A 14,576-nucleotide genomic window follows, 5' to 3' on the forward strand; every position below is an offset into this window, starting at 1 on the left:
CTATCACAGAGTAATACGTTTATTAAGAGGGAAAAACAGATTATACCAACATAGCAAGAACAGTGACTAGCAATGAGTGATTATTGCCTGAAAGAGTTAATGGTGGGAGTTACTCATAACTGGAAATGAGACAGAAAGTCAAATATGATTCTAGAAAAAGGACCAATAAATAGCAGTATGTCGAAGTAAATCAATTTTCCCAATATATACTGTATTTTTAAAAATCCCTTTTCGAGTGCTGTTTTTTTCCTCAGTGTTGTTCTGGACATCTTTGAAAAGGCACACAGAAAGCAAAAGCAGTCTTTACAAGTGCAGAATGTAATCTGGGAGGATGGTGAAGTCACCAACATCCTTTAATTGAAAATGAGTCAGTTGCTGGCAATTCATTTGAGAATCATTTATTGAGCACCATCTATGTGCCAGCCTTTGTGCTGGGTGCTGAGGACAAAAAAAAAAACAAAAACAAAACAAGACTTGATTTCTGCCCTTGAGGCACTCCAAGGCAAGAGGTTAATCACTTTTAAGTTTATAAAGACTGGTTATTTAGAAAGGGCTGAGAACTGTAATGTGTGTCCTTTATGGCCAACTCCTACACATCTCTTTCTTTGATCTCCTCTTTATTCACTTATTCCGCACTTTCTCTTCTTTTTTCTTTCCCTTCTTTTATGTAGTCTTTAGATCTGTGATTGGAGCCCCTGGCATGGCAAGTTAGCCAGATGTGTTCAATGGAGTCCCTTCTGAGACTATGCCAAGACACCAAGCACCTCTCTTTTGACATTTCAAGGTGTTTCTTTTTTTTTTTTAGAGGTGTGAAGTGGGAAATCAGGGGTCTCACAGCCTTCAGAGCTGAGAGCCCCGAACAGAGATTTACCCACGTATTTATTAAGTGTTTCTAAAAAAATTATTTTTTGCCCTCCATATACTCTGATTAAAATGCAGACAATGAAGTAAAACCTGGGGAGAGTAGAGTAGTTTCCTAGGATGCTAAGTAGATCAGTTTGGCTGGAGAGAATGCTAGACTATATATATTATGAATTGAATCATATTAAGGAATTTGAACTTTATCTTGTTCATAACAGAAAGTCAATGAAGTTTTGTGAGAAAGCGTTTGTGTTGTTTTGTTTACATTTTCTGTAGAGACAGCGCCTCGCTATGTTGTCCAGGCTTTTCCATTTAAGGAGAATATCTTTCAAGTTCTGAGTCACATTCTCGACCCATTGTGAGTGCTTCTCTGACCTCCTATTGCTTGTTTCTCTTCATTTGTGTTGCTTGCTTTGAAATGAAGGTTTGTGAGAAGGGGAGTGACAAGATCAATTTAGGGTTTTAGGAAGAGTAACCTTATTGTGGGAGATAGAATGGGTTGTTAGGGGGCAGGCCTGGCAGCAACGGTCCTGTTAGGAAGTGATTACTAAGGTATAAAAAAAATAAGGGCCAGAGTTAGGCAGCAGCAGTTAGATAAGGCAGAAGATTTGTGGATGTGAGAAAAGTGTAAAAGAAAAAATTAATAAGATTTGGTGCCTAAGTAAAGATAAGCATTAAAGGAGAAAGGAATTGGAAACAACCTATAGGTACTAGACAAGGACTTTGGAAAATGAAAATATCATTATCCAAAACAGACCAGTGGGAATGTGAAGGTGGTTTGTGGCAAAGAAACCATGATAGGTTCAGGGCTAGACGGGTTGTCTTTGTTTTGATGGGATATATAAATAAAAGCCATATATCCAACGGGGATCTAGGAATAGATTTCCTAGGAGATCATACTCACAGAGGTAATAGTGTGTTTTGGACCTCTCCACCTGCATATCCCACTGACACATCACAATCTACATGCCTAAAACTGAACTTTACTGTCATTCGGAAATGCAAATCTCAATTTGCATTGCTCTTCAAGGTGAATCATGCTTTTAAGTACCCAGGCTACCAAACTCAGTTACCTCTAGTGTCTTCATCTCCCACTTGCCCCTCTCCCACAAGCAACTAGTCACCAAAACAGTGGATTCTAAGAGTCAAATATGTTGTGTGTCAATTCTTATTGCCATAATTAGTACTTCCATGATTTGTTCCCTTGGCTATCACGACAGTTTTTGTGTTGTAATATTTACATTTTCTGCAGAGACAGGGTCTTACTTTGTTGCCCAGGCTGGTCTCAAACTCCGGGGTTCAAGTGATCCTCCTGCCTCAGCGTCCCGAAGTGCTGGGATTAAAGGTGTGAGCCACTGCACCTGGCCCACACCAGTTTTATAACAGGTTTTCTTGCCACATAAGTTTATTTTTCCACTGCTTAGAGAATGGAATTCAAAGTCTTTCTGGAATGAACCTACCTGTCCAACCTAATCCCTGAGAATCTTTATACAGCCCCAACACAAAAGCCCCACCAGCTTCTTCCTTTTCTTTCATGATGCCAGGCATATCTGTGCCTGGGGTGCCTCTATTGATGCTATTTTATTATTTTGGAATACCTTTTTCACTTAAGGAGAATATCTTTCAAGTTCTCAGTCACATGCTAGACCCATTGTGAGTGCTTCTCTCACCTCCTATTGCTTGTTTCTCTTCACTTGTGTTGCTTGCTTTGAAAGCAAGAGCCTGAACCAGGGAGGTGGGAGTAGACGTGGGAAGAAGCAAAGGGCATAATAAAAATCTAAGCAAAGAATTGTGGGGCATAGAGAAGGAAGAAGTCAAAGAAAAACATATCAGTCTTGGCTGCTCTTGGTTGACTGGGAAGAATTACGGTGTACCAAAAACAAACAAACAAAACAAAACAAAACAAAACAAAAAGAAGGAAAGATTAATTTCGTTCTGAGCAGGTATGGGATGAGATACTAGCAATGAGTGTAAATTGGGCTAACTGATAAGTGAAAAGTTTTACAGAAATGAGAAGGGTGTTTCAAGCCAGAAAAAAATATTTGGAAATTATATGCAAAGAGGTGGTACCAGATGTGTGATCTCCAAAGAAGAGGCCGTTAGAAGACCAGGTCTGAGGAGAGAGCTATAAGCATGTTATCAATCTCAAAGGTGAGAGGAGGAAGTCCTATCAGCAAAAGAGCCTGTCATAGACTGGCCATGGAGGTGAAACGATGAATTTTTTAGTTTTCTTAAAAGGTAATTGTTTTGGTTTTTAAAATTTTATGAGAAATTTCCAATTTCTGAGATGTTGTGCTTTTCATTTGAAGAAACTGCTGATTCTTTGCTCAAATTGAGATTCTTTTGATTGTAAATCTTAATAATTAGTGGTATGAAAATTCATTGTTTTTCCTTCAAAAGAGGGATTCCCTTCTTAAGTGAAGACATCTAACTAAAGTTTTGTAAGAAAAAAACAAACCAAAACTAACAACCATCAAAAATTAGGCCATAGCTGGGTGCGGTGGCTCACGACTGTGGTCCCAGCAGTTTGGGAGGCCGAGGTGGGCGGATCACCTGAGGTCAGGAGTTCGAGACCAGCCTGGCCAATATGGTGAAACCCTGTCTCTACTAAAAGTACAAAAATTAGCTGGGCGTGGTGGTGGACACCTGTAATCCCAGCTACTCAGGAGGCTGAGGCAGGAGAATAGCTTGAACCCAGAAAGTGGAGGCTGCAGTGAGCTGAGATCGCCCCACTGCACTCCAGCCTAGGCGGTAAGAGCGAGACTCCATCTCAAAAAAAAGAAAAACCTGGCCATAGAATTTAAAACAGAGTTGGTTAGTAGGGGCTGTTTTTTCACATGATCTGTAACATACTGGGGTGAGGTGGTGGGCTAGAATAAGATGTGTTAAGAATTGATTCAATTTGGTCAAACCATAGTTTCTGGAAACGCTACTGTTCTTTTTTTTTTTTTTTTTTTTTTGAGACGGAGTCTTGCTCTGTCACCCAGGCTAGAGTGCAATGGTACAATCTTGGTTCACTGCAAACTCCACCTCCCAGGTTCAAGAGATTCTCCTTCCTCAGCCTCCCAAGTAGCTGGGATTACAGGCATGTGCTACCATGCCTGGTTAATTTTTGAATTTTTAGTAGAGACAGGGCTGGCCAGGCTGGTCTCGAACTCCTGACCTTAGGTGATCTACCCACCTCAGCCTCCCAAAGTGCTGGGATTACAGGCACGAGCCACCGCGTCTGGCCTGAAAAGAACCTCTTCTTAGCATGAGATTCTTTGTTGTTTTTATAGATTTATTGAAACAAAAATATTATTAAAACTACATATTTTTATTGAATATTACAAAGAAATGTTAAAAAAATAAAAAATATGTTTGTTGTAACAACAACTTAATCCACAAATATGGAAGTAAGCCCCACTACCATATACAATTTGGAATACACCCTTTTAGACTTTTCAGAATACATACACAATCACATATACATATACCTTTTCTGTATGTGATTTGCCCAACTTCCACCATCTTATTTCCTATTTCCTGCTAAAAGTAACAAGCTACAGCAATTAACAACGACATTAATAAAGGTTACATTTGTACAGCATATCCACACATATTATGTTTCACAAGTGTTACAGGTTGAGTACCCCTTATCTGAAAAGCTTGCAACCAGAAATTTTTTGGGTTTGAGATTTTTTTCCAATTTTGGACTATTTGCATGTACATGATAAGATATCATGGGGATGATACCCAAGTCTAAACACAAAATTCATTTATGTTTTATATACACCTTATACACATACCTGAAGGTAATTTTATACAACATGTTTGGTCATTTTTGTGTATGAAACAGTTACATTGAAACATCAGAAAGCAAAGGTGTCACTATCTTACCCACCCATGTGGACAATGTGTGGTTTTTTGGCATCACCATCATTCTTGACTTTGACTTTATATGCTACTGATAAGCAATTGTTTTCTTACACTTATTCACACATACATACAGGAAAAAGTATGACACACAATTAATACAGGGAAAAAATGATGTGTTTGGGGTAACTGAGCGGCACAGCGACATCATCAGGATATTTGTACCAACTGTCAACAGCAAAACAAACAACTGTGGGCTTTCTGTCTCCACCTACAATTAAAAGGTTTGGATTAAAAGGTTACTGTACACTGTACTTTTTTTTTTTTTTTTTTTTTTCTTCAGGTGAGAAGAAACATCAGAAGCAGTTGAGGGACCAGGAAGTGGGTCCTCTAGCAATGAGGAGACATTCTGCTGGATAGCTTTTTAAAATGTTTCCTCCAAAGTCATCTGCCTCATTAACAATGGTTTTTGTCTTAGAAGCCTCTGATTTTATTAACTGACATGACTTCTTGTTCTGTTATGAATACATGCTGCTTTCATCCTTCAATAAGCCCATCACACATTTTCAGCATGCTGCCTATAGGTACTTTTTCTGCAATGTTAAGATCAACTTCATTGTCACCATCATCTTTTTGTTGTTGTTGTTTCTTTAATTTTCTTTGTAGAGACAGGGTCTCACTCTTTCATCCAGGCTGGAGTGCAATGGCTTGATCACAAATTATAGATCATAGCTCACCGCAGCCTTGAACTCATGGGCTTATGTGATTCTCCCATCTCAGCCTCCCAAGTAACTAGGACTACAGGTGTGTGCCTCCATGCCCAGCAAACTTTTAATTTTTTGTAGAGATGGGAGTCTCCTATGTTGCCCAGGCCAGTCTTGAACTCATGGGCTCAAGTGACCTTCCACGTTGGCCTCCCAAAGCACTGGGGTTATAGGTGTAAGCCACCATGCCTGGACTATCACCATCATACTGATTCAGAGTCATTTCAGCTATTTCACCATTGGTTGATAAATGAACAACTGGAGACTTATTATTCATGTTAAAAATTTCTTCAATATCCACTTTTTCCAGCTTACTTACAACAGCCTCTGAAAATATATTTTTTGCATATGTAAGAAGGTCAGAGACATTTTTTTCTCACTTGACTTAGGGAATTCTTCAAAGTCACCACTTTGTTCATCATCAACTCTGAACATAGTGGCAGGCCAGAGGTTGTGTCAGGCATGTACACTGTGCCTTTAGTCATTGTGTTGTAAGTGTTGGCAACAGCATATATGTCATCTTTCATGCTAAACTCCTCTTGAAAATCTTCCACACCCACACCTCTGTTCACTGCTGCTAGCATATTGTTCAAGAAAATGTTTTTATATTTACTCTTCATTGACCTAAAGATACCTGAGTCACATGGCTAAATTACTGAAGTCACATTTGGGAGAAAGTACATGGTATAAACATTATTTCTGGTGAGAATTTCAACTAAGGATGAGCAGAACTGTTGTCAAGGAATAGCAAAATCTTGCAGTGATCATCTAGTTTAGCACAAGCCATCTACAGTAAGCCATCTACAGTAAGCACAAGCCACTGGTACAAAATGTGAACCCAATCAGAAAAAGATTCCATGGTGATCCATCTCTTTTTGTTAATATAATAAAGAACCAGTAAGAAATTCACTCCTTGAAAACAGGGAGGATGTAAGCTTTTGCCTATCACAGTAAGTTTACACTTATGCACGCCTGCTGCATTAGCACATCCCAGCACAGTTATTCTGTCCTTGGCAGCCTTAATTCCTGTAGATGCTGTCTCATCAGCTGTAGTCAATGTCTTTCTGGGACAATAATGCCAGAGCAGCAATGTCTCATCAGCATTATAGACTTGTTCTGGCATCCAATTTTCATAACCAATGACCTTGGCAAACTCATCAAAGAGTTTCTCCACTGCTTTGTGATTAGCAGATGCTTTACCACCACAATTTTTTTTTCTCTTTTTGAGACAGTCTCACTTTATTGTGCAGGCTGGAGTGCAGTGGCATGATCTCGGCTCACTGCAACCTCCGCCTCCCAGGTTGAAGTGATTCTGAGTAGCTGGGATTACAGGCATGTGCCACCATGCCTGGCTAATTTTCGTATTTTCAGTAGAGATGGGGTTTCATCATGTTACTCAGGCTGGTCTCAAACTCCTGACCTCAGGCAATCTGCCTGCCTCTGCCTCCCAAAGTTCTGGGATTACAGGCGTGAGCCACCGTACCTGGTATGTCACCACAAATTTTCGAAAACTTAATGCTATGTTTTTTCTTAAATTTCTGGAATGAATTTCTTACCAGTCCGTTATTATGCTAACAAAAAGACATGGATCCCCAGGGACATCATTTTTGATTGGTTTCATAAACATTTTGTACCAGCCTGTTGAATATTCACCAGTTCCCTTCAATTTTTAGTTTATCATGATAAATCTTCACTTGTTTTATGATCAGCATATTGTTAAGTGGCATAAGTTCACCACGACACTGACAGACCTACTCTTTCAGTACATAATCAAGATCTTCATTTTTAGCTTTATGCAGTGTTTTTCTATTTTTCATTGACTTCTGTTCATCACTTCAGCATAGAACTTAAACAGTTTATCCTTCTGTTCCTTCAGGTCACATATGGAGGTCATTCCAACACCATACTCTTGTTTAAGACATTCCACACTTACACTGCTGTCCAGTTTCTCCAACAGCTTGACTTTCTGTGTACTTTGGATAAACATAAATGCTTCCTCTTTTTCTTATCACTGTTACCCAGAGGAGTTATCTGCAGGCACTTTTGACATGTTCAACAAATTTTCACACCACAAAGCAGAGAATAAGCAAAAACCCACAGTGAGTAATGCATGTAGGTTTTGGCCTTGTGTAGGGCATCATGGGGAATCTGCCATTGGTGTGTCTGGCCTGCACATGTGCCATTTTATTAACCTTGGTGGGTGTGCTTGTGTGGGGAAGTCTGGGTATGTATGGAAAAGATGTCAAAGTTAACGAGGGGCTGAGAGGGTCTTTTTTCCTTTGGGAATGCTGAAAAACTCTGTGTTATGTGCCTGTGTTTTGACCGCGACCAATCACATGAGGTCAGGTGTGGAGTTTCTATTCGTGGTGTCATGCCAGTGCTCAAACAGTTTCTTATTTTAGAGCATTTCAGATTTCAGATTTTCAGATTAGGGATGCTCAACCTGCATATCATAGATCTTCACTCTGTTGATCAGAAGTAAGCGGGGTAGGATTATTAGTGTCATTTTATAGAGGATGTCACTTCCCCCAAGTCTCATAGTTACTTCTGTTGAAAAGGTTGCCACTGGACTCAGGTTCTTCACACCAAATTCTGAATTTATTTTCTACATCACCCCATTTTCCACAGGGTGGTTTCCACAGTCAGGTCTCCCCAGCCTCTACTAAGGTGTTCTGCAGAGTAGGTCAGCATAAAACTTGGATTAGGTTAGAAACTGAACATTACCATACAGTTGCCTAGTGGTTTTCTTTAGTTGGGAGAAGGGTGACCTTCCCAGCTTGATCTGCCAAATATCTGGATCACATCTTGAAGTGATGACAATGGAAGGTACAATAAGTGCTACAGGACTCCAGAGTGAGGTATCTGTACATGATCTAGCTAATAAATAATGCTGGCAATGGGCACATCTATCATTGGACAATGTGCTAATGAAAAGAAATTTGGGGGGAGATACATGATGTAGTGTAGTGGAAAGAGCGCTATTATCTTTTGTTTCTGAGACATATAATTTTCTTACGTTTTAATGCTTGGAAATAGGCATTACAAATCTTACAAATCCATGAGTCTTTGATTTGGTAAAAAGCAGTAAATGGAAACTCATTAAAAATAGCTTCTTTGTCTAAACTCTTACATTTCCCCATCTTGGGCAGGCCATTTAACCTCTCAGTGCTGTGACATGAGGTGACATATATAAAGCTCACTACGGGCTACACAGGAGGTGCTGTTAATAATAACTAACATTTATTGAGGGTTTACCCTGTTCCACTGACTATTCTTAGCACTTCGAGAGGATTTTCTCATTTAATCCTCACAGCAAAACTCTAAGGAAAGCTCTATAAATATCCCAGTGTTCTAGATGAGCAAAGTGAGATTTAGAAAGTTCAAATGAATATAGCTATAGGTTAAAAGCTGGTAAGTGGCTAAAATGGGAATTGAACCAGGTAGTACCAGGCCAGAGGCTCCCTCAAACTCCAGTGCTGTTTCCCTACTTGCTATGTGTTAGTTTACAGCATTTTCCTGATTCCTTTCCTACTCCTCTGTGTGTTTGCTAGCAGATTTTGATTTATTATAAACTCAGATGCCCTCGGGATTATAAACATGGAGCTGGTAAGGGATGGTAAACATTAGGGATGGTAAACAATATGGACCTAATTCAGTACACACACACACACACACACACCAGACTGACCTTTGGATTGCCTTTTGCACAGTGGCAAAAAATTAAACAACAAATCAAATTAAACAAACCAAACAAGAAAAAAACAAAAACAAAAAAACCCAAATAAACTTGCACTGGCTCTTTATGAAGTAAAACAAAGAAAAATATGAAAAAAGCAAGCTAAGGATAAAACAATAAAAGTAAAGCAAATTAAATTTATTTAAAAATCTTGTGATGTCCAAACAAATGTATTGACTTCAGCTGCCTGTTTGGGAACTTTCCTTAAGTCTGCAGTAAGAATACATATCCTAGATTGATCACAGAAGTACCTGGAAAAATTTAAAGGCAAAAGAGATACTAAAGGGAAGGAGAAGGCAGCCCAGAAGGGATTTGTAAATTCCCAAAGAGGTCTCCACAAGACTGAGTATTTCCTATCAAATAATGGGTACTTTCTCTGCCATTGTCTTACGCATCTTTGCCTTGTCTCTGTGGAGAAGGGATTGAGAGTTCCATTTTACAGATTACTGGATAAAGCCTTTAGGTAGTGAGACACTTGCCCAAGGGCTTTGAAGCCTCAGCTTTTCCCGTATATTCAGCTGGGGGTAGATGTGGATATATCACAAAGCTTGTCCTCAGTCGCACTAGATCTTTCCGAAGCCCTGAACCTGATTTTATTCATAAGATTCTGTTTCTTAATTTGGGGAACCCTCCGAACTGTATAAATGTAATACCCCAAAACCCAGATCTACACCTGTATGGAAGTCAAAGGCTGTGACAACATGCTATTTTGAGCAAGTCAACCTCAACTTTTCCTTCGGGTGTGGAGAATGGCAGGAACGCAAGGATCTCTGGCCAGCTTCAACGATGGCGGGACTTTCCCGCATTTCACCTGGATGTCCTTCCTGTAAACTTAGTATTTAACGATCCTACACTGGCTCAACTCACAGAGTTGCTTGGTGGGCAATGTTGACGATATTTTTACAGCTCTGGTTTTTCTATTAATTGCAAAGTTACCCCTAGTCTGCAGGAAATGAGATGCCAAAAGGAAGAGGAGTGGATCCCTTCCAGACCTCCACAACTCTTAGATTATACTAAACCAGGAGGAAAAACCCTCTTTAGCATATGAAAGGGAAGGCAATTGTATTACTAAGCCTCACTCCACCGCCTCCAGACTTTTCTCAGTCAGAGAACAAAGGGCAAAAAGCAAACACCACTTCATACCCCTATTCACTGGAGGTTAAAAGAGACCTCCCACTATACAAAAGTGTTTCTAAAGGTCAGTTTGGGAGTGTATTGAGGAGGAGGGCACTGGCTGGGGAACAAAATGTTTACCATCACCCTCAGGCGGGCTGCTTCTGTTTTTCTTTCAGCACGTGCATGAGGTCCATCAGTCAGAATTGGACATTTTCATCCCTGATTAGCTGCTGGTGGTCAAATTATACTTCCTTGGCCCTCTGAGGTCTTTTTCTGATTCTTGATTCCAGTTGAACTAAGAAAGTGGGGCCACCCTGAGCCAAGACAACTCCCAGGGAATGATTATTCATTCATATTCATTAAGTCAACAGATACTGATTGAATGCCTAATGTGCATCCAGCACTGTGCTAGGCCCTGAAAGCATGTAACAATGCACAGAGCCGATACAGTTGTTTGTATAACTTCAATTCAATTGGGAAGACTGACATTGAATGATGAAACACACCCTTCATTATTTAAATACAACTGTGATAAATGTTTAAAGGAGCATGATGTGCAACGAGAGCTTAACAGGAGAGCTGCTAATCTCATTTGGGCTGTGAGAGAAGGGGCTTTTTTGAGGAAGCAAAAGAGTAGGAGTTAGCTATATGCCAGGGCAGTTGAGATCATGCTGGGTATAGGGGTGGACAGCAGGCAAAAAAGGCCCCGAGTTGGAAAAAATATAGCCTGGCACAGGAATTGGAAAGAGACTAATGTGGCTGGCGTCCACAAGGGAAGGCAGAATGGGGCTGGAGACTAGGCAGCGGGGGAACTTCCGCAGGGCTTTGTACTCTGTAGGCTTTTGCATTCTGTCTCTAAAGCAATGGGGAGCTAGTTATGGGCTTTAATGAGGGAGGTGACTTATGAGGTTTGCAGTGTAAAGGAAGAGTTTTAGGGGGCCAGAGATTTACTTTGACATAGTAAACTATGTCAGAAGACGAGAAGAGAAGTTCTCAAATTTTAAAGAATTTTGCCTGGAGACCTTGTTAAAATGCAGATTTCTGATTTAGTGGGTCTCAGGTAGAGCCTGGGATTCTGCATTTTTAACAAGCTTCCAGGTGCCGTGCTGCTGGTCCACACTACAAACACTTGAATCACAAAATTTTAGGTCAGGGTTGCAATGGAGATGAAGAAAAGCAGATAAATTGAGAGTTATTATGTGGGAAGTGAGTGAAAATACCAAGATATCTTGCAGGTCTCTAACTTGGGTAACTGAGTGGAAGGGGGTGGTATTTACTGAGATAGGATTCACCAAAGAAGAAAGAGCAAGTTTGGGTGGGAGGTGAAAAACTCAGTTTTGGATACGTTGACTTTGATGTGTCTTAGGAATATCCAAGTAGGCAATGGTACATATGGATCTGAAACTCAAGGCAGAGGAGGAAGCTGGAGATACAAATTTAGGAGTCATCAATATGTAAATGGTAATTAAAACTATAAAAATGGATACTATCAGCCTAGGGAGCATACAGCAGGGGTTAAAAACTCAAATTTGGCCTGTTGGCCATCTGTTGGCCTTCTTTTAAATATCTTGGAAAGAGAAGAGGACCAGGACCAAGCAAGAATTTAACAACTCAGTGGGATGAGGATGTCAGCAAAGAAATCTAAGAAGATACCAAGTTGGAAGAAAAACCATGTCAATATCCAAGAGTTGTTTCCTTTCTTTCTTACTAACAGAACAGGTTTTAGACTTGAAGATGGCTTTAGATCCAGGAAAGCAGATCCTTCCTTAGCCCCAGTAGCTGAGTCATGATTATCTAAACCATACATGATCATCTCGTTCCACTTTACCTGAAATTCTTTCAGCAGTGGGCTCTGGCCAAATTCTGACCAGTGAGATAAAGGAAGTAGGCTTGGATGAGTGAAGATTCAAGGAAGGCATTTTTCTTTCCAATAAAAAGGAGAACAAGCAAAGAGCTTCATGGTACCACTGCCTGCATACACCACCACCTCAACCCTTTTCTTCCTGCTTGGAACTCAAACGCAATGTCAGAACGATGTCAGACATCATAGGACTGAGAAGAGATAAGATAAGGGTGAAAACAGCTAAGGGTGACAGAATAAAAAAACTGAAGAGTACCTGTGTTGCCAGAGCTGAGCTACTGACTTGCTCTGGAACTACCTCTCTTCAGTCCATGGTGTTAAGTGAGATGGTAAATGCCTATACTGCTTTAGCTACTGGTAGATGGTTCTGTCACTTGCAGCTGAATATATTTCTTATGTTAATTAGTGTATATCTTATCATGACATTGAGTAATGTAGTTCTGGAGCTAGATAGACATGGTTCAGATAGATACAGTATTTTACTTTGGACATTTTTTGTGTTTCCTCAGTTTCCTCACCTGCAAAATGTAGATACTAAATATTATCTCTCTCAAGAACTCTCATATACTGTTGGTGGGAGTGTAAATTAGTAAAGCTACTTTGAAAAGTAATTTGGCAAGATTTCCTAAAACTGAAAATATATATAGCCTAAGGCAATTCTACTTCTAGGTAAATCTTAGAGAGACTGTTGCACAATGCATGGAGAGATGTGTACAAGATTATTCATTGAAGTTTTTTTTTTGTATTAGGAAAGAATTAGAAACAGTCTAGATATCTGTCAAGAGAAAATACCTAAGTAAGGTACAGTATATTGATATGATCACATACAATGGAGCAGTTTAAACAGATGAACTAGCTCTCTCTATATATATCAACGTGGATGAATCTCAGAAACATAATGCTGAGTAAAAAAAGCAAATTGCAGAGTGAGACATACAGTATGATTCATTTATATACAGTTTAAAAGCAGACACTATACTACATATTTTTACGGATCTGTAAGTCTATGGAAAGTAGATTGGAAGGACACACATTAGATACACTTGGGGATGAAGGATAAAGAAGATAAAAAATAGGGGTCATGTCTAGACAGATGATTATATCATGCCCGTAACAGAAAAGAATGACTGATTGAATCAATTCAGCTCTGAGACTCTGCAGCTCAACCTTAGATACAAAATAAAACAAAACAAAACATAATAGTATTGCTCTTCCAGGATTAAGTGACATAATAGCCCAATGTCTGGCACATAGTAAGGGTTTAACAAATAGTGGTCATCATTATTATTATGCTCGCCTGCTGTGCTCTGCCTTTTTGCTTTCCATAGGCTCTTTCTAATACAATAATCTTAGAAGGGGAGTGTGGTTGGGTACTTCTCTGTGCACCTAAATTTCCAGTTCTCATTTATTAGCTTGAGGGTTATAAAAGCCAAAGGCTTGGTTTGGGGCCAGGTATTGATGTGCATTGAGGCTACTCTAATGGGTTAAAAAAAGTGCTTCCAGGCACATACACAACGGCAGCCCACATCAATTCACCAAATAACCACAAGAAGAGAAACACCTTACTAGCATAAGTCCTTGCATTTTGCATAAGTAGCTTATATTAATCAGGACTAGATTGGGCAAAAATGGAAATTTATTGGTGAATATATGAATTGGGAAGTTCAAGAAAAATAACTGGCTTCAGCTTTCTAAACTACACTGGGGAATTCTCATTGCCTTGCACCTAATTCTGCTATTTCCACAGCAGTTCTGTTGCTTGCAGTGCTCACTCCCAGCTACCATTGCTGAATCAGTTCTGCAAAAAACTGAAAGAAGCTCTGACTCACCTAGATGGAAAAAGGAATTTATTGGAAGGACACTTTATAGCTTACAGAATTAAAGGAAACACTGATGAGCCAGGTCTTGGGAAGAAAGAGGAGCAGGAAGCTACCGAATCTTAGTCAGAAATATACATACCTTCTTTCCTTAGGTCATGCCATGAGAATAACCCCATTTCACCCACCTAGAGTCTCTCTGTCATTCTCCCTGGAGAGTCTGATTGGCTTGGTTTGGTAGAGGGCCCTGTGCTTGACTTTTTTTTTTTTTTTGAGACGGAGTCTCACTCTGTCACCCAGGCTGGAGTGCAGTGGCGCGACCTTGGCTCGCTGCAAGCTCCGCCTCCCGGGTTCACGCCATTCTCCTGCCTCGGCCACCTGAGTAGCTGGGATTACAGGCGCGCACCATCATGCCCGGCTAATTTTTGTATTTTTAGTAGAGATAGGGTTTCACTATATTGGCCAAGTTGGTCTCTAATTCCTGACCTCGTGATCTGCCTGCCTCGGCCTCCCAAAGTGCTGGGATTACAGGTGTGAGCCACCGCACCGGGCCTTGACTTTCCTAT

The 14,576-nt window shown here is 40.1% G+C and overlaps 2 annotated features.

The window, feature by feature from the left end:
• Positions 10,026-10,737: an enhancer, noted in NCBI's record as "OCT4-NANOG-H3K27ac hESC enhancer chr2:158789161-158789872 (GRCh37/hg19 assembly coordinates)". NCBI's record gives its function as "activates a minimal SCP1, AML or CMV promoter by ChIP-STARR-seq in naive and primed H9 embryonic stem cells {active_cell/tissue: H9 hESC(naive and primed)}" and the evidence as "EXISTENCE:reporter gene assay evidence [ECO:0000049][PMID:30033119]".
• Positions 10,738-11,447: an enhancer, noted in NCBI's record as "OCT4-NANOG-H3K27ac hESC enhancer chr2:158789873-158790582 (GRCh37/hg19 assembly coordinates)". NCBI's record gives its function as "activates a minimal SCP1, AML or CMV promoter by ChIP-STARR-seq in naive H9 embryonic stem cells {active_cell/tissue: H9 hESC(naive)}" and the evidence as "EXISTENCE:reporter gene assay evidence [ECO:0000049][PMID:30033119]".

This window comes from Homo sapiens, chromosome 2 (genome assembly GCF_000001405.40).
Source record: "Homo sapiens chromosome 2, GRCh38.p14 Primary Assembly".
In the NCBI taxonomy this organism is placed as follows: domain Eukaryota; kingdom Metazoa; phylum Chordata; class Mammalia; order Primates; family Hominidae; genus Homo; species Homo sapiens.